General features: G+C 43.9%; 1 protein-coding gene across 23 annotated transcripts in view, besides 2 other annotated features; it reads left to right on the forward strand.

Annotated features, from left to right (window-relative positions):
* The first annotated feature begins 97 nt into the window (after positions 1–97).
* NUSAP1 (nucleolar and spindle associated protein 1) overlaps positions 98–19,419 on the forward strand; it is a 48,166-nt gene continuing 28,844 nt past the window's right edge. For 4 of the 23 annotated variants that reach the window (XM_006720559.4, XM_006720562.4, XM_005254428.4 and 1 more), the window contains exons 1-4: positions 98–267; positions 9,603–9,671; positions 16,315–16,458; positions 18,205–18,364. In XM_006720559.4, the coding sequence (XP_006720622.1) occupies positions 175–267; positions 9,603–9,671; positions 16,315–16,458; positions 18,205–18,364 (466 nt within the window). In that variant the 5' untranslated portion in view covers positions 98–174. The remainder of the gene's footprint in view (positions 268–9,602; positions 9,672–16,314; positions 16,459–18,204; positions 18,365–19,419) is intronic. The other 19 variants (NM_016359.5, XM_047432641.1, NM_018454.8 and 16 more) reach the window with 6 other exon arrangements.
* Positions 3,956–4,577: an enhancer, noted in NCBI's record as "H3K4me1 hESC enhancer chr15:41628937-41629558 (GRCh37/hg19 assembly coordinates)". NCBI's record gives its function as "activates a minimal SCP1, AML or CMV promoter by ChIP-STARR-seq in naive H9 embryonic stem cells {active_cell/tissue: H9 hESC(naive)}" and the evidence as "EXISTENCE:reporter gene assay evidence [ECO:0000049][PMID:30033119]".
* Positions 4,578–5,199: an enhancer, noted in NCBI's record as "H3K4me1 hESC enhancer chr15:41629559-41630180 (GRCh37/hg19 assembly coordinates)". NCBI's record gives its function as "activates a minimal SCP1, AML or CMV promoter by ChIP-STARR-seq in naive H9 embryonic stem cells {active_cell/tissue: H9 hESC(naive)}" and the evidence as "EXISTENCE:reporter gene assay evidence [ECO:0000049][PMID:30033119]".

The raw sequence follows: 19,419 nt of genomic DNA on the forward strand, positions 1-19,419 counted from the left end.
GGGTTAGAAACCCCGCCTTTGAGGCATTTTCAACCAATGGAAGCGCGGCATTCTTCATTTAAACTGTCTATAAATTTCTGCCTAGTCAAAGTTAAGAGTGGCGCCAGGGATTTGAACCGCGCTGACGAAGTTTGGTGATCCATCTTCCGAGTATCGCCGGGATTTCGAATCGCGATGATCATCCCCTCTCTAGAGGAGCTGGACTCCCTCAAGTACAGTGACCTGCAGAACTTAGCCAAGAGTCTGGGTCTCCGGGCCAACCTGAGGGTACGGCGCTGGCGGTGCGGGTCCCTGGGCGGGCGCGGCGGGAATAGCGGCCTCGGGGAGATGCGGTGCGAAGGGACCGAGAGGGAAGCCCGGGACTGAGGCAGCTCTCCCTGCCCCTCGGGCAGTAGATGTGGTTCACGGTAGTCCCAGTTAGAACTCTGATAAACGGAAGAGGAACTGTAGTTTTCACCTCATTTTGAAGCTGGCTTGTCTGGGTGCTCACATGATAAGCTCTATTCCGAGGGATGGTTTATTGTTTTTTGTTTTGTTTTGTTTTGAAATTACTGTATACCTCTCAGGGCGTCGATTACGAAACTCAGGCCCAGAAAGCACAAGGGGTGTCGTTAATCGTTAGACAATTAAGTAAATAATTGGCTCAGCTTCTGGAAAACCCCAAACAGACTCCAGTGATTTGTAATATTGCCGATAATCTCTTGATACTTTATTGATGGACCTGTCAGAAAAAAAAAATCGACTTTTAGGGGAGCACCTCCTTGGGTAAATTTTTATTGATGACTGTTGGGTTGATGGTCTCTATCAAAACCAGTAAGGTCTTTGACTCCGAGGCTACAAGATGTTTGGAGAGTTGGCCCGGCGCTGTGGCTCACGCCTGTAATCCCAGCACTTTGGGAGGTCGAGGCAGGCGGATCACCTGAGGTCAGGAGTTCGAGACCAGCCTGGCCCTTAAAAAATTAGCCGGGCGTGGTGGCACACGCCTGTGATCCAAGCTTTTTGCCTGTGATCCCAGCTACTTGGGAGGCTGAGGCAGAAGAATCGCTTGAACCTGGGAAGCCGAGGTGGCAGTGAGCCAAGATCGCACCACTGCACTCCAACTTCGGTGACAGAGAGAGACTCAGTCTCAAACAAAACAAAAACAAACAAAAAACCCAAGATGTTAGAAGAAGATTTGGGGATTTAATGTAGGATAGCGGTTTTATATATTTTGTTAATAGTTGAGACTTCCCACATAATACTGCTATATACTCTGGAGGTTTCTCCTGCAGGCTGTGATACTGACAGTGAGTAAATGCTTAAATCAATCGTCACAATTTTTTTTTTATTTGTTTGTTTGTTTGTTTTTTCTTTGAGACGGAGTCTTGCTCTGTCGCCCAGGCTGGAGTGCAGTGGCGCCATCTCGGCTCACCGCAACCTCCGCCTCCTGGGTTCAAGCGATTCTCCTGCCTCAGCCTCCTGAGTAGCTGGGATTACAGGCGCGTGTCACCACGCCTGGCTAATTTTTGTATTTTTAGTAGAGATGGGGTTTCACCATGTTGGTCAGGCTGGTCTCGAACTCCTGACTTCCTGATCCGCCCGCCTCAGCCCCCAAAGTACTGGGATTACAGGCGTGAGCCACCCCACCCGACCTAAATTGTTTAAACAAAATAATCAGGGCCTAAGTGCCTGTTGGGGCTGAATGACCAAAGGGTTTTCCTTGGGGATATTTCTGGGCTGTAGTGGTTAGTGGCTCCTCTATACTTCGTAAACAAAGCCTTAATATCTCAGCCTAAATTCCTTAGGCTTTTTTGCTGCCTAGCTAGAATCTTTTATCCAAGGCTGCATCCCTGAACACTTGGCACTTTTATCTATCTTTGTCCCATTGCTCATTTTGACCCTCTAGCCTCAGATCACCTTCTTTCTCCTTTATCTGCCTGGCTGTGTGTGTGTGTGTGTATTTTTAGTAGAGATAGGGTTTCACCATCTTGCCCAGGCTGGTCTTGAACTCCTGGGCTCAAGCGATCCTCCCGCCACGGCCTCCCGAAGTCCTGGGATTACAGGCGTGACCCACCACGCCTGGCCCATATCAAGTATTTATATGTGAATCAAGTATTTATAGGTGAAATGTTATGATACCTGTAAAATTTGCTGTAAAATACTCAAGGAAAAAGAGAGGGAAACTAGATGAAGTAAGAACAGAAGAATGTTAATAATTACTGAAACTGGAGATAGGTACATGGGGGGATTGCACTATTCTCTCTACTTTTTTAGGTTTGAAATTTTCCATAATAAGATGTTTTAAATTATTAACTTGGTACAACCTAAGAGCTCATTAAGTCAATTGCCTTTTGAAATTTTAGTACATAGCAAAAAAATTAATAAATTGCTCTGAGAAATTATCAAGATTTGATTAAAATGAAACACTACAATTTAAATAAATTTTACTAGCATAAATATACTAGTATAATTATGCTAATAAAATTTATAATTTATACTAGTATATACTATATATATTATTACTAGTATAAATATATAATATATATACTAGTATATATAAATATACTAGGATACTAAATATACTAAATACACTAAAATAAACTAAATATATAAATATACTATATATACTAAATATACTATATTAATATACTATATGTACTAGATAAATATACTATAAATATACTATATAAATATACTAAATTTACATATTTAGTATTTAGTGTGTATTAGTATATATATTTAGTATAGATATACTATATACTAAATATACTATATATACTAATATGTATACTAAATATATTTAATATACTAAATATATTATACTATAAATAAATATAAATACTATACTTAATATACTATATACTAAATATACTATATATAAATATATTAAATATATAAATATACTAAATATAAATATACTAAATATAGTATGTATGTTTAGTATAAATATACTAAATATACTATATTTATACCGGTATAATATACTAAATATGCTATATTTATACCGGTATAAATATACTAATATACTATATTATACTGGTATAAATATACTAAATATACTATATTATACCAGTATAAATATAAATATACTAAATATACTATATTTTTATGTATACTAGTATATTTGTACTAGTAAAATTTATTTAAATTGTAATGTTTTATTTTAATCAAATCTTGATAATTTTACTAGTATGATATTATTAAAAATAAATTTATGGCCGGGCATGGTGGCTTGCACCTGTAATCCCAGCATTTGGGAGGCCAAGGCAGGTGTCTCACCTGAGGTCAGGAGTTTGAGACCAGACTGGCCAGCATGGCAAAACCCCATCTATACTAAAAATACAAAATTTAGCCAGGCGTGGCAGGGGGCACCTGTAATCCCAGCTACTCGGGAGGCTGAGGCAGGAGAGGAGAATTGCTTGAACCCAGGGAGGCAGACGCTGCAGTGAGCCAAGATCACACCATTGCACTCCAGCCTGGGCAACAAGAGCGAAACTCCGTCTAAAAATAATAATAATAATAATAATAATAATAAATATATAGGAGATAATATTCCCTCTTTTGAGAGACTTCTCTTAATGGTATAGCAATTTGAAGGAGCCAGTTATTAATGTTAGTGGGGCGACTGGTCCTGTTGTCACTCATGCCCTCACTTCCTTTCTTGCGAGCTTAAATTACAAACACTGGCACTATTTCCACTTCCTTGCACCTCCCTATACTCACCTGGCAAAACCCAAGCCTGATTAAACCCAGCTATGTGCTTAATCTTTGCCTATACCTCTGCAGCTAACTCTAGTTGGAGAAAACACCTAACTTTGTTGAGCGAACTTATTTTAAATATGCAACGCTAAACCTTAATATGGGCATTTGATCCTCCTCCTTTTGGTTTTTTTTTTTTTTTTTTTTTGAGATAAGGTCTCGCTCTGTTGCCTAGGCTGCAGTGGCACAATCAGGCCTCACTGCAGCCTCAACCTCTCAGGTTCAAGACATCCTCCCACCTCAGCCTCCTAAGTAGCTGGGATTACAGGCACGTGCCACCACACCTGGCCCATTTTCTTCTTAGTCATGAACTTTCCTACTTTTGAGGATAATTACTTTTTATCATCTTGACTCAACTTGGTTCCCTTCCCTCCCTTGATGACTTTACCTCATAGGTCATGGGAAAATAGATGCAATCAACAGAAAACTGCCTTATCGTTCAACCACCAAATCCCCCCCTTTTTTTCCTTTCCTTTTCTTTTTTTTTTTTTTTTTTTTTTTTTGAGACAGGGTCTTGCTCTGTCAGCCAGCCTGGAGTTCTCTGGAGTGCAGTGGCACAATCAGGACTCACTGCAGCCTCAACCTCCCGGGCTCAAGCAATCCTCCCACCGCAGCCCCCTGAGTAGCTAGGACTACAGGCATGACCACCCTGCCTGGCCAGTGTTTTTTTGAATTTTAGTAGAGATGAGGTCTGACTATGTTGCCCTGTCTGGTCTCCAACTCCTGAGATTCAGCGATCCTCGCGCCTTGGCCTCCCAAAGTGCTGGGATTACAGGCGTGAGACCCTAGGCTTGGCCCCACCACCAAACCTTTTAGCCACCCTGCATCTACATCCACATACTCTGCTTCTTTGCCTGTCTAAGGGCAACCTTTCCATTTATGCTGAAGATCCTGGGCCCTCTTGCTTCCCCTAGGACTACATTCCTACAATTAGAGCCTCTCTCCTCATTAATTTCTCCACTCTGCTAGCTTATTTGCCATAAGGCATGCAATCATGTTTTACTATCACCCATCTTTTAAAAAAATAAAAAAGCCAAAATCCTCTCCTGATCCCATGTCCTCATTCCATCTACTGCCCTATTTCTCTGTTCTTTTCTACTGAAATTGCTTTATTAAGGTCGCCATCTTACAAAGCTTGTGTTCCCTCTCTCCCCTCACCTGTGCCTATCAGTAGCATTTGGCATGATTGAACATTCCCCTCTGCTCCAGGCACTTTCTGTTCTAGGCTTTGATATTTCACGCTGTCCTGCCTTACTAGCACTTCTTTCTAGTCTCCTTGGTTGGTTCTTCATCTGCCAGATCTCTAAATGTGGAGTGCCCCCAGGGCTCTCTTCCTGGTTGTCTTTTCTCTAACTATGCTCTATCCCTCGGTGATCTTATCCACCCCATTTTTTTTTCTTTTCTTTTTTCTTTTTTTTTTTTTTTTTTTGAGTCACAGTCTTGCTCTGTCACCCAGGCTAGAGTGCAGTGGCGCAATCTCGGCTCACTGCAACCTCCACTTCCCAGGTTCAAGCGATTCTCCTGCCTCAGCCACCCGAGTTCCTGGGATTATAGGTGCCTGCCACCATGCCCAGCTAATTTTTTTGTATTTTTAGTAGAGACAGGACTTCACCATGTTGGCCTGGCTGGTTTCAAACTCCTGACCTCAAGTGATCCACCTGCCTTGGCGTCCCAAAGTGCTGGGTTTACAGGCATGAGCCACTGCGTCCGGCCCATTCCCATAAGTTAAAATTTACCCAAAAGCTAATGCCTCCCAAACCCACATCTCCAGTAGGACCTCTCTCTCCCCTGGGATGCTGACTCGTGTATTTAAGTGCATTTTCAACAACACGGTCAGGTCCAAGCATTGACAGTCTCTTCCCCATCTCAGTACATTGTTCAGGCCCAGTTTGGATCACCCTGGATTCCTCTCTTCTTCACCCACAGCCATCCATTCTTGTCAGCACCTCCTCCTAAATAGACCTGAAATCTGACCTCTGGGCACCATCTCCAGCGCTGCAAACCTGTGCCACAGCACTCTCATCTCCTGACCACTGCCTCAGTCTCCCTATTGGGCTTCCTGCCTCAACTCTTACCTCACAATAGTGTTCTCTTGGTAGTTGGAGTGATATTTGAAACTTAGGGAAAAGAAAAAAAAGAGAGAGAGACCAGGCGCCAGGCGCAGTGGCTCATACCTGTAATCCCAGCACTTTGAGAGGCCGTGGTGGGTGGATCACTTGAGGCCAGGAGTTCAAGGCCGGCCTGGCCAGCATGGCAAAACCCCGTCTCTACTAAAAAAAAAAAAAATACAAAAATTAGCCAGGCGTGGTGGCATGTGCCTATAATCCCAACTACTCGGGAGGATGAGGCACGAAAATCCCTTCAACCTGAGAGGTGGAGGCTGCAGTGAGCCAAGATCACGGCACTGCACTCCACCCTGGGCGACAGAGCGAGACTCTGTCTCCAAAAAAAAAAATAAACTTAGAACGTGTCTTTCTGCTCAGTGCCCTCCAATGACTTCCCTCACATCTAAAATAAAATCTAAACTCTTTCCAGTGTAATGAGAGAAACTTAGTTTGACCCTGATTTGGAGGGAAATTTTTTTAAAAAGAAAATAGCTAAAATTGGAGAGAAGGAAATTTCATTATGGGCCACATATTAGGTGATATTAGGAAATTATTGCTTTTCCTGAGTACACTAATGCATTAGAGGATCATGTGGGGAAATCTCTTATTTTTAGGAGATGTGGCTGATATATTTAGTGGTAAAGAATCATGATGTCTGGAACTTATTTTCAAATTCTTTCACAAGAATTATATATTAATATAGAGAAACCAAATATGAGACAATGCAAATGACTATTGAATCTTGGTGGGAAATATGAGTGTTTATTACATTACTTCGACTTTTCTTTTTTTTTTTTTTTTGAGACGGAGTTTCGCTGTTGTTGCCCAGGCTAGAATGCAACGGCATGATCTCAGCTCACTGCAACCTCCACCTCCTGGATTCAAGCAATTCTCTTGCCTCAGCCTCCCAAGTAGCTGGGATTACAGGCATGTGCCACCATGCCCAGCTAATTTTGTATTTTTAGTAGAGACAGGGTTTCTCCATATTGTTCAGGCTGGTCTGGAACTCCTGAACTCAGGTGATCTGACTGCCTCAGGCCTCCCAAAGTGCTGGGATTACAGGCGTGAGCCACCACACCCAGCCTACTTTGACTTTTCTATAGGCCTGACTTTTTTTCTAATAACAATTTAGGGGAAGAAATTAATTTTTTTTCTATTTTTTTATTTTTTTTGAGACAGACTTTCGCTCTTGTCACCCAGGCTGGAGTGCAGTGGTGCGATTCCGGCTCACTGCAACCTCCACCTCCCAGGTTCAAGTGATTCTCCCGCCTCAGCCTCCTGAGTAGCTCAGACTACAGGTGCCCACCACCACGCCCAGCTATTTTTTGCAGACATGGGGTTTCACCCTGTTGGCCAGGCTGGTCTTGAACTCCTAACTTTGGGTGATCTTCCTGCCTCGGCCTCCCAAAGTGCTAGGATTACAGGCATTAGTCACTGTACCTGGCTGAAATTCATAATTTTTGCTGTGGCCTTTACCTCTCTACTTGACCCAGCCTCTGGTCACATCTCTGATCTCCCTGCCCTCCATATACCTCAGTGTTCACCATACTTCTACCATAAGGGCAGTTTCTGTCTTTCAACTCATGAGTCCACCTCAGGGCTCCTGTTCTTGGCGCTCGCTCTGCTCGGAGTGCTCTTCACCTGCTGCCTCTTTCCTCATTCACATCTCGGGAGGCCTTTCCCAGCCATCCTAATTCAGGTAGCATCCCCACCCCACCCCAGTTGCCCAGTTTTATTTTTGCATCATAATACCTGACGTCATATCATTCATTTCTAGCTTTCTTGGGTAACTGTTTCACCTCTGCTAGAAGATCCTGGAGGGCAATCACCTTGTCTGTTTAATTAATCACTCTCTAGTGTCTGGAACAGTGCCCAGCACAATAAATGCTTGTTGAAGGAATGCATGAATATATGCTGATAACTAACATCTGCACCTTCAGCACAACTCTTGAACACCACCTCATATCATTCAACCTCCTCACTGGGTTCTGCCACAGGTGCCTCACTTCATGCATTTTTGTATGTTTGGTGAGATTTTGAAGGTATATTAAGAGAGTATTAGAAAAATCAAGAATGCCTGAATTCTGCCCTGCCAATCATCCCCTTCCCAGAGAAAACCTCAAGGGTGGTTCAAGGAACAAGTAGAAAATAAGGTACCACTTTATTACTAGCTGAAATAGTGCCTGATATCTTGATGCAGAGCATTCTGGTAAAGTGGATTGGAGACTGTGGCTTAGGCTTGCACCACAAGCAAAAGCTTGAGCACAAACCAAATTTCAGGATCTCTGCTATTCTCTACTGGACACATGGCCCATGATAAAAGGCATGAGAAGAATAGAGCCAAGCCTGGTGGCTGGGCCCACCTTGAGAAGGATGGCTGTGGCCCTCAACTGCATGGCTGGGTGGAAGAGGAAGAAAAAAAGAACCCAACCAAAAAACTTGACTTTTGTTTTTTAAACGGAGTCTTGCTCTATCGCCCAGACTAGAGTGCAGTGGCATCATCTCCTCGGCTCACTGCAACCTTCGCCTCCTGGGTTCAAGCAATTCTTCTGCCTCAGCCTCCCAAGTAGCTGGGACTACAGGCACACACCACCATGCCCGGCTAATTTTTGTTTTTTTATTAGAGACGGGGTTTCACCATGTTGGCCAGGCTGGTCTAAAACCCCTGACCTCGTGATCCACCTGCCTCGGCCTCCCAAAGTGCTGGAATTACAGGCATGAGCCACCCCGCTCAACCAAACTTGACTTTTAAAGCACAGGAAAATGTAACCAATCAAATTAACATTGTTCTTTCAGGAAAGAACAAGAAGGGAGGTTTTCCTAGGCTGGGAAGAGAAGCTCAGTGTTCCCTTCCCCCGGCAGAGACCTACAACCATCCCCCTAAGACCCCGTCACCTTTTGCATTCCTCATCTTAGGGACCGTACCACACTTCACCAGCTGTCCAAGCCAGAAACGTTGGCATAACAAAGTTTCCCTCTTCCTCAACTCTCATGTTCACACTGATTTCACTTCCTAAGAAGGTTTTGACTTCATCCATACTGCCTTAGCCCCGCTCCAGTTCAGGCCACAGCATTTCTGGCTCATCCCCATCAAATGCATCTTGCACATTGTGCAGGTAGACTACTCATTCTGAGTAATGCAAAATTGGTCACCCACTGCCTTGCTGCAAACTCTTCAGAGACTGCCCTTTTCTCTGAGAGTAAAGTTCATACTCTTTAAAGGCTTACAAGGCCTGGTAACATCACGGCCCTGCTCACTTTCCCAACATTGTCTCTTACTATCTCCTACAAACAGGTCCATGTTCCAGCCACACTGAACTTAAGTTCTTCAAACTCCACCCTCATTGTTGCCTTGCTGTGCCATTCCTCTACCTCTTTCTCTACCTTCTCTTCATCCTTCAGATCTCAGCAATTAGAGACATCACATCTTTATCTGAGAACTGCCCTGTGCAGATACTTGCTGAAGTCTAACCTAGCAGTCCCAACTTTGATGGCCATGCCTACCTATGTTCTCATGACAGCCTGAGCCTCCTAGCGTGGGCATTTACCCCACTGTATTGCAATTGCCTCTTTCCTTGTCTAACTTTCCCACTCAGATGTGAAATTCCTTAGAGCAGAGACCCATTCTTTCTAAGTAATGGTTCTAGTCCTATGGTCTGACCAGAGTACATTTAATGAATACAAGAACAGCAAAAAATATTCAACGTATCTTCCTTGTTTATTTGACTTTTGGCTCTAATAATAAGGTCTCTCTTGCAGGCAACCAAGTTGTTAAAAGCCTTGAAAGGCTACATTAAACATGAGGCAAGAAAAGGAAATGAGAATCAGGTGAGTAATGTTTTTCATGTTTACCTGTTAGCTAGCAAAATAATCATATTTGGTTAATGGGCAATTAACACACAACTAGTGATGATTTAAGACATGCTGTTGGCCAGGTGTTGTGGCTCACGCCTATACTCCTAGCACTTTGGTAGGCAGTGGCAGGCGGATCACTTGAGTCCAGGAGTTCGAGACCAGCCTGGCCAACATGGTGAAACCCCGTCTCTACTAAAAATACAAAAATTAGCCAGATGTGGTGGCGGGAGCCTGTAATCCCAGCTACTCAGGAGGCTGAGACAGGGAGAATTGCTTGAACCCGGGAGGTGGAGGTTGCAGTGAGCCAGGATCGCGCCACTGTACTCCAGCCTGGGTGACAGAGCAAGACTCCGTTCAAAAAACAAAAAAAAAGATATGCTGTTTATTAAAAAAGAGATCATTATTGGTAATAGTGCCAAGGACTGAATCCTTTCAGATTAACTATCTGCTGTTGTGAATGGTGAAACTGTTTTGCGCCAAGTAATCTGTTGAATAACATGTTTTTACACAGATACAAAGGCTGAGTACTAGTTGCCAAGTACTACGAGAGATGGCATGATTTAAGTAGAGAGGGAACTGGATTTGAAATCAGAAACACCTTGGTCAAGTACCAGCTCTCATTTATTTCTCTGCAACATTAGAAAACTCAAACTCCTCTTCTTTAAAATGGAAATAATATCTGTTCTGCTGAACTGAGTGTTGTGAGCATCACATGAAGTAGGGATTGTGAAAGTGACTTGTAAGCTATAAAACACTGCTGATGGCTGATGGGAGTTGTCATGGCCGCTTCAGACCCACAGCAAAGATTTTTGATAAGGCATGACTCCTAAACGGATGAATGAGTGCCCCATTAGAGCCAAGATTCTTTTATTCTTTTTGTTGTTGTAGTTGTTGAGACAGAATCTTGCTGTCATCCAGGCTGGAGTGCAGTGGTGTGTTCTCAGCTCACTGCAACCTCCATCTCCTGGGGTCAAGCAATTCTCCTGCCTCAGCCTCCTGAGTAGCTGGGATTACAGGCATGCACCACCACACCCAGCTAATTTTGTATTTTTAGTAGACACAGGGTTTCTCCATGTTGGTCAGGCTGGTCTCAAACTCCCGACCTCGGGTGATCCCACCACCTCGGCCTCCCAAAGTGCTGGGATTACAGGGGTGAGCCACCATGCCCGGCCCATTTTCTTGTATTTTTAGTAGAGATGGGGTTTCACCATGTTGGCCAGGCTGGTCTCAAACTCCTGACCTCAGTTGATCTACCTGCCTCAGCCTCCCAAAGTGCTGGGATTACAGGTGTGAGCCACCGCACCTGGCGTCAAATTTATTTTTGATTCCAGGCTTTAATTAACTGAAAATAGACAAGAACTATTTTTGAATTCTAGCTTTAAAAGTTTCTATATCAATTTCTTTTTTATGGTTAAGGGTACATGATTGTAGTGCCATTTGAAATTAAAATTATAGGCCAGGCGCAGTGGCTCACACCTGTAATCCCAGCACTTTGGTAAGCCGAGGTGGGTGGATCACTTGAGGTCAGGAGTTTGAGACCAGCCTGGCCAACATGGTGAAACCCCATCTCTACTAAAATACAAAAATTAGCTGGGCATGGTGGTGTACACCTGCAGTCCCAGTTACTCAGGAGGCTGAGGCAGGAGAATCACTTGAATCCGTGAGGCAGATGTAGTGAGCAGAGATCAAACCATTGCACTCCACCCTGGGAGACAGAATGAGACTCCATCTCAAAAAAAAAAAAAAAAAAAGAAACAACAACTAAAAATTGTCTCTTTATATTCCAGCAACATGTGTAACTCAAAGGTACTGCTTCTAGGTTGGTGCAAATGTAATTGTGGTTTTTGCCATTACTTTAAAAAATGACAAAAACCAGGCCAGGCGCGGTGGCTCACACCTGTAATCCCAGCACTTTGGGAGGCTGAGGCGGGTGGATTATGAGGTCAAGAGATCAAGACCATCCTGGCTAACACGGTGAAACCCTGTCTCTACTAAAAATACAAAAAACTAACCAGGCGTGGTGGTGGGCGCCTGTTGTCCCAGCTACTAGGGAAGCTGAGGCAGGAGAATGGAGTGAACCCAGGAGGCGGAGCTTGCAGTGAGCCGAGATCATGCCACTGCACTCCAGCCTGGGCGACAAAGCGAGACTCCGTCTCAAAAAAAAATGACAAAAACCAGGCTGGGCACAGTGGCTCACGTCTGTAATACCAGCACTTCGGAAGGCCAAGGCGGGTGGATCACCTGAGGTCAGGAGTTCAAGACCAGCCTGGCTAACATGGCAAAACACCGTCTCTACTAAAAATACAAAAATTAGCCGAGCATGGATGCACACAGCTGTACTCCCAGCTACTCAAGAGGATGAGGCAGGAGAATTATTTGAACCTGGGATTCAGATGTCGCAGTGAGCCAAGATTACGCCGCTGCATTCCAGCCTAGGCAACAGAATGAGACTCCGTCTCCGAAAAAAAGAAAAAAAAACCACCGCACTTATTTTTGCACCAACCTAATACATGGAAACAATTTCTCTTACTTTTTTTTGAGACAGGGTCTCACTCTAACCCAGGCTGGAGTGCAGTGGTACAATCAGGGCTCACTGCAGCCTGGACCCCCCAGGCTCAAGTGATCCTCTTGCCTCACTCCCCTGAGTAGCTGGGACTACAGCCTTGTATCACCATTCCTGGCTATTTTTTGTATTTTTAGTAGAGACGGGGTTTCACAATATTGCCCGGGCTGGTCTCAAACTCCTGGGCTCAAGTAGTTTGCCTACCTCTGCCTCCCAAAGTGCTGGGATTACAGACGCTCTGCCAGTTTCTCCTCTTTTACTTTCTTCTCCGTGACTATCAGGGAGTTGGAAAGTGGGATCCACATTTTTCTATTCTCATGTAAAAACCCCTGCTCCTTTTTTAGCTCATCTTGAAAAGGCCAAAGATAAAGGGAAAAAAAATCTCTTCTCCTTTGAAATTTATGATCACCTATTTTTTTCTTTCTTTTTTTTTTTTCTGAGTTTCACTCTTGCTGCCCAGGCTGGAGTGCAATGACACGATCTCGGCTCACCGCAACCTCCACCTCCTGAGTTAAAGCGATTCTCCTGCCTCAGCCTCCTGAGTAGCTGGGATTACAGGCATGCGCCACCACACCCGGATAATTGTGTATTTTTAGTAGAGACGGGGTTTCACATGTTTGTCAGGCTGGTCTCAAACTCCCAACCTCAGGTGATCCTCCCACCTCGGCCTCCCAAAGTGCTGGGATTCCAGGGGTGAGCCACCGCATATGCTTACCTATTTTAATCTCCCATCTGCTGAGCTCCTAGTTACTCTCTAGTGTTCTCTGTCTCATTGTCATCATTTCCTCATGTCTTCATCTTATTTTGGACAAGTTCAAAGGTCCATCTGGATGTCTCTTCTTACTACTGTGGCCTCCTTGTCCCTTAATGCTAGTGATCTTTGTTTTTGCTCTTTATCAACCGTCTACTTCTCTGGGCATATCCTAGACCTTACAACACTTGGAACTATTCCACTTCTGTAATATTTTACCTCTGGTTAAGGCCTTTTATTCTTTTTTTTTTTGAGATGGAGTCTTGCCCTGAGTAACTGGGATTACAGATGCACACCACCATGCCCAGCTAATTTTTGTGTTTTTAGTAGAGTGGAGGTTTTACCATGTTGGCCAGACTGGTCTTGAACTCCTGACCTCAAGTGATGTGCCCACCTTGGCCTCCCAAAGTCCTGGGATTATAGGCGTGAGCCACCACACCCAGCCAGTCCTTCTATTCTTTAAGCTTTATTCTTTCATTCCCAACAGATATATTTTATATTTTTTTATATATTTTTTCTTAATTATTTATTTTTGAGATGGGGTCTCACTCTATCACCCAGGCTGGAGTGCAGTGGCATAATCATGGCTTGCTTTTGGCTTGACCTCAAGCAGTCCTCCCACTTCAGCCTCATAAGTAGCTGGAACTGCAGGCACACTCACTACACCTTGTTACTTTTTAAGAAATTTTTTTTGTAGAGACTGGGGTCTCATTATGTTGCCTAGGCTGGGGAACTTTTTAAAAATACGGATGGCTGGGTGCGGTGGCTCAGGCCTGTAATCCCAGCACTTTGGGAGGCCGAGGTGGGTGGATCACGAGGTCAAGAGATCAAAACCATCCTGGCCAAAATGGTGAAACCCCATCTTTACTAAAAATACAAAAATTAGCCGGGTGTGGTGGCACGCACCTGTAGTCCCAGCTACTCGGGAGGCTGAGGCAGGAGAATCGCTTGAACTCAGGAGCCAGAAGTTGCAATGAGCCAAGATTGTGCTATTGCACTCCATCCTGGGCAACAGAGCCAGACCCCGTCTCAAAAATAAATAAATAAATAAATAAATAAATAAATAAATAAATAAATAAATAAATACTGATGTATGGCCAGGCACAGTGGCTCACGCCTGTAATCCCACCACTTTGGGAGGTCAAGGTGGGTGGATCAGCTGAGGTCAGGAGTTCGAGACCAGCCTGGCCAAAATGGTGAAATCCCGTCTCTACTAAAATACAAAAATTAGCTGGGCATGGTGGCATGTACCTGTAATCCCAGCTAGTCATAAGGCTGAGGCAGGAGAATTGCTTGAGCCTGGGAGGCGGAGATTGCAGTGAGCCGAGATTATAGCACTGCACTCCAGCCTGGGCAACAGAACTAGACTCTGTCTCAAAACAAAAAAAATACTGATGATAGGCCTCACTAAACCTCAAGCCAAATAAATAGACTATCAAGGGATGGCCTGTGGCCATAATAGTGAAATTGACTGACTACTAATAGTGAAATAGACATCTGGTAGACTGCCTGTAATCAGTCTACCAGATGTCTCCTACCCTCTAAAATATTGGAAGATTTCTCATTAAGGAAATTAAATAGTTATCAGACAAAGGCTCCTGCCTTTGGGCATTCAAGGAACCACCAGCATAATGGCCTCCTCCCTAACCAAGGAATCCTGCCAAATAACACACATTTCCTGCACACTCAAGCTCCTAATGAGGTTTTTCCTGATTTGCTATGAAATATGAATAGACATGGCCGGGTGCGGTGGCTCACTCCTGTAATCCCAGCACTTTGGGAGGCTGAGGTGGGCGGATCACAAGGTCAACAGATCGAGACCATCCTGGCTAACAGGCGAAACCCCGTCTCTACTAACAACACAAAAGATTAGCCAGGCGTGGTGGCGGGCGCCTGTAGTCCCAACTACTCAAGAGGCTGAGGCAGGAGAATGGCATGAACCCAGGAGGTGGAGCTTGCAGTGAGCCAAGATCATGCCACTGCACTCCAGCCTGGGCAACAGAGTGAGACTCCGTCTCAAAAAAAAAAAAAAAAGAAAGAAAACGGACTGGGCATAGAGGCTCACGTGTGTAATCCCAACATTTTGCGAGGCCAAGGCAGGAGGATGACTTCAGCCTAGGAGTTCACAACCAGCCTGGGCAACATAGTGAGACCCCATTTCTACAAAATTAAAACAATTAGCTTACGTGTGGTAACACATACCTGTGGACCCAGCTGATTGGGAGGCTGAGGTGGGAGGGTCAGTTGAGCTCCAGAAATTGAGGCCGCAGTGAACTTAGATCAAGCCACTGTAATCTAGCCTAGGCAACAGAGCAAGACCTTGTCTCTAAAAAAGAAAGAAAGAAAGAAAAAGATGACCCTAAAGGAAATGAAGATAATACAAAATATAACTCCTGGCTTAGCCTCCTGAGTAACTGGGATTACAGGCACTTGCCACCACGCCTGGCTAATTTTTGTATTTTTAGTAGAGACAGGGTTTCACTGTGTTGGCCAGGCTGGTCTCGAAATCCTGACCTCAGGTGATCCACCAGCCTTGGCCTCCCAAAATGCTGGGGTTACAGGTGTGAGCCACTGGCCCGGCTTAATACATTTTTAATAATTTTAAGTAGAGATGGGGTTTTGCCATGTTGCCCAGGCTGGTCTCAAAGTCCTGGGCTCGAGTGATCCACCTGCCTCAGCTTCCCAAAGTGCTGGGATTACAGGTGTGAACCACTGCACCTGGCCCAATTTCTGTATTTATTCACACTAAAATAACTTTGAATACTTTACTACCCTAATTTATTAATTTGGGTTGCTAAGTGTGATTATTTCTTTTTAAATAATCTATAAGGGTTTGTTTGTTTGTTTGCTTGTTTGTTTTTGAGACGGAGTTTCGTTCTTGTTGCCCAGGCTGGAGTGCAATGGCGCCATCTTGGCTCACTGCAACCTCCCCTTGCCGGGTCAAGTGATTATCCTGCCTCAGCCTTCCAAGTAGCTGGGATTACAGGCATGCACCACCATGCCCGGGTAATTTTCTATTTTTAGTAGAGATGGAGTTTCACTATGTCAACCAGGCTGGTCTCGCTAACCTCAGGTGATCCACTCGCCTCGGTCTCCCAAAGTGCTGGGATTACAGGCGTGAGCCACTGTGCCTGGCCTAAATACTCTATAATTCTTGTCTTTGCCTACAATTTACCGCTAGAGAGTTTTAAATTTTTTCTTTTGCATATGTAATATGTTTTTTATTCTGTCTCAATTCTGATTCTTCCTGAGCATTATAACTGTAGACATAGCACATAGCAGATTAATACCTCTCTTTTCAGGATGAAAGTCAAACTTCTGCATCCTCTTGTGATGAGACTGAGATACAGATCAGCAACCAGGAAGAAGCTGAGAGACAGCCACTTGGCCATGTCACCAAAACAAGGAGAAGGTGCAAGACTGTCCGTGTGGACCCTGACTCACAGGTGAATGGAAATATACAAACTGAAAATAAACCACCTATGCCAAAATTGGCATACTTTTATGGAGATTTCTTTTTAAATTCCCATGTGATGTCATGTGTTTGTAAGGTTACTGTGTGCTGTAAGCTCCATGAAAGCCCAGACCCAAGTCCAGCTGCTCATCACTGCATCCCAGGGCTTGGGCCTCAGGAAGCACTTTTTAAGTATTAAGCTCACATTAAATATTTGTTGTATAAATATGAACATTCATTGAGTGTTCACTTAAGTGAGGTGTAGTAGGTAGGAAGGAAAGAGAAACAAGCATTAAATGTGTTTTTTGTTGTTTTTTCGTTTGTTTAAATTCTCCTTCCTACCTTGTCCCTGGCCTGGTGATCACCCTGTACTTAGTCTTTCAGCAGTGTGATCACATGATTAGCAAGGGGCTTCCCTCGCTTGCTTTCCGTAGACTCTGGTTTTATTCTTTTATCTTATCCTTTTATTCAAATGTAATTTTTACAAAGCACAGTCTTTTTTTTCTTTTTTCTTTTCTTTTTTTTTTTTTTTTTGAGACAGAGTTTCACTCTTGTTGCCCAGTATGGAGTGTGATGGCACCATCTCAGCTTACTGCAACCTCCACCTCTCAGGTTCAAGCAATTCTCCTGCCTCTGCCTCCTGAGTAGCTGAGATTACAGGTGGCCACCACCACGCCCAACTAATTTTTGTATTTTTAGTAGAGACGAGATTTCACCATGTTGGCTGGGCTAATCTTGAACTCCTGACCTCTGGTGCTCTACCCACCTCGGCCTCCCAAAGTGCTAGGATTACAGGTGTGAGCCACCATGCCCAGCCCTGAAACACAGTCTTAATTTTCTTTTCTATGTTCATATTGTTGCAGTAAACTGAGGAACGGAGAGACTAATACGGAGTACAGGAGGATTTGTTTATTTTAGGCACGCACCGGCTCGGAGGATTCACATCTAAAAGCTGAGCCTTGAACAAAGACTGAGCGGGTTTTTATAAGTGGCTTTACAGAAGCAAAATAAAAGCAATTAATCATACAGTAACAGGTTACATAATCTATAGCGTAACATAACTTGTGACTTAGCCAGTGGCCTTGTAGCTGCATTAAAAGAAAAACAAGAACTGGCTAAATACAGACATTTGTAAAACATAATCATGCTAATCATGCTTAAGAAGCCCGGGAAAAGAGTAACATTAAAAGAACTTGTATTTCTCTTTTTTTTTTCTTTCAACCTTGCTCTGGAACCAGGGGTCGGGGGGAGGGTGGTGTCTGGAGCTTATTCCTTTGGCCTTGGCTATTTGGACAGCGTTATCTTCTAACTGTCTTCAAAGTGAGCTACTAGGCAGAGGAAAACTTGTTCTTTTCTTTTTAACTCTTGCCTTGCCACATTCTGGGCCTTAGTTTTTACTTTTCTTGGAGTGAATAAATGCAGTACTTATTATTATTTAAATTTCTGCCTCAATGTAGTCACTTGCTCAGTAGACTGTCTAGGTTTCTTCATTTGTCCTTGCTAACAGAGCTAATCTTGCCATTTCTATTTTCCTCTTAATGTGCCCTAGTATCTCCTGTTCTCAAATTTACATTCTCGTGACAGTTGATAAGGCAGAGAACCAAATCTGCCACCAAAAATCTCATTCTCCTACTTTTCTTCCTTTAACCCCTTTTCCCCCTCACTTTGGTACTTATCTTTGGAAGGCAGCAATTCTTATTTATCATCGAAATCTTTTATTTCCTTTTTAAATTTGTAGCAGAATCATTCAGAGATAAAAATAAGTAATCCCACTGAATTCCAGAATCATGAAAAGCAGGAAAGCCAGGATCTCAGAGCTACTGCAAAAGTTCCTTCTCCACCAGACGAGCACCAAGAAGCTGAGAATGCTGTTTCCTCAGGTAAACGTGGAATAAATGGTATGTCAAGTAACTTTAAAAACCAAAATTGCTAGAAGTAGCCAGGTACATTAATTTCCTAGGACTGTTGTGACAAAGCACCACAACTGGGCAGCTTAGAACAACAGAAATTTACTCTTTCATAGTTCTAGAGGCTGGAAGTCCAAAATCAATGTGTCAGCAGGACCATGCTTCTCTGAGACTCTGGGTGGACTCCTTCCTTGCCTCTGACTACTTTGCGATGGCTGTCGACGCTTGGTGTTCCTTGGCTTGCAGCTGCATCATTACCAGTCTCTGGCTCTGACAGCGCATGACATTCTCTCTCTATGTCTTCTTAATAGGACAGCAGTCATATTGGATTAGGATCCACCCAAATAGGCCAAGCATAGTGGCTGGTGCCTATAATCCCATTACTTTGGGAAGCCAAGTCAGGAGGATTGCTTGAGCCTAGGAGTTCAGGACCAGCCTGGGCAACATGGTGAGACCCTGTCTCTACAAAAAGTCAAAAGAATCAGCCAGCCATGATGGTGCACACCTGTGGTCCCAGCTACTCAGGAGGCTGAGGTGAAAGGGTTGCTTGAACCCAGGAGGTTAAGGCTGCAGTGGGCCATCTTCATACCACTTCACCCCAGCATGGACAGAGTGAGACCCTATCTCAAAAAATTAAAAGAACATCCAAATGATGTCATTTTAACCTTAATACATCTGAAAAAAAATTCCCATATCTAAATAAGGTCATATGACAGGTACCAGTGGTTAGGACTTCAACATATCTTTTAGGGGGCCACAATTCAACCCATAGCACCATGTTATAGAATTTCTTTTTTTTTTTTTTAGACAGAGTCTTGCTGTGTTGCCCAGGCTGGAGTTGCAATGGTACGATCTTGGCTCACTACAACCTCCACCTCCTGGGTTCAAGCGATTCTCCAGCCTCAGCCTCCCAAGTAGCTGGGATTACAGGCTCGTGCCACCAGGCCCAGCTAATTTTTGTATTTTTAATAGAGACGGGGTTTCACCATGTTGGCCAGGCTTGTCTCGAACTCCTGACCTCGTGATCCACCCACCTCAGCCTCCCA

The sequence above is a fragment of the Homo sapiens genome, chromosome 15 (genome assembly GCF_000001405.40).
Source record: "Homo sapiens chromosome 15, GRCh38.p14 Primary Assembly".
Taxonomy (NCBI): Eukaryota; Metazoa; Chordata; class Mammalia; order Primates; family Hominidae; genus Homo; species Homo sapiens.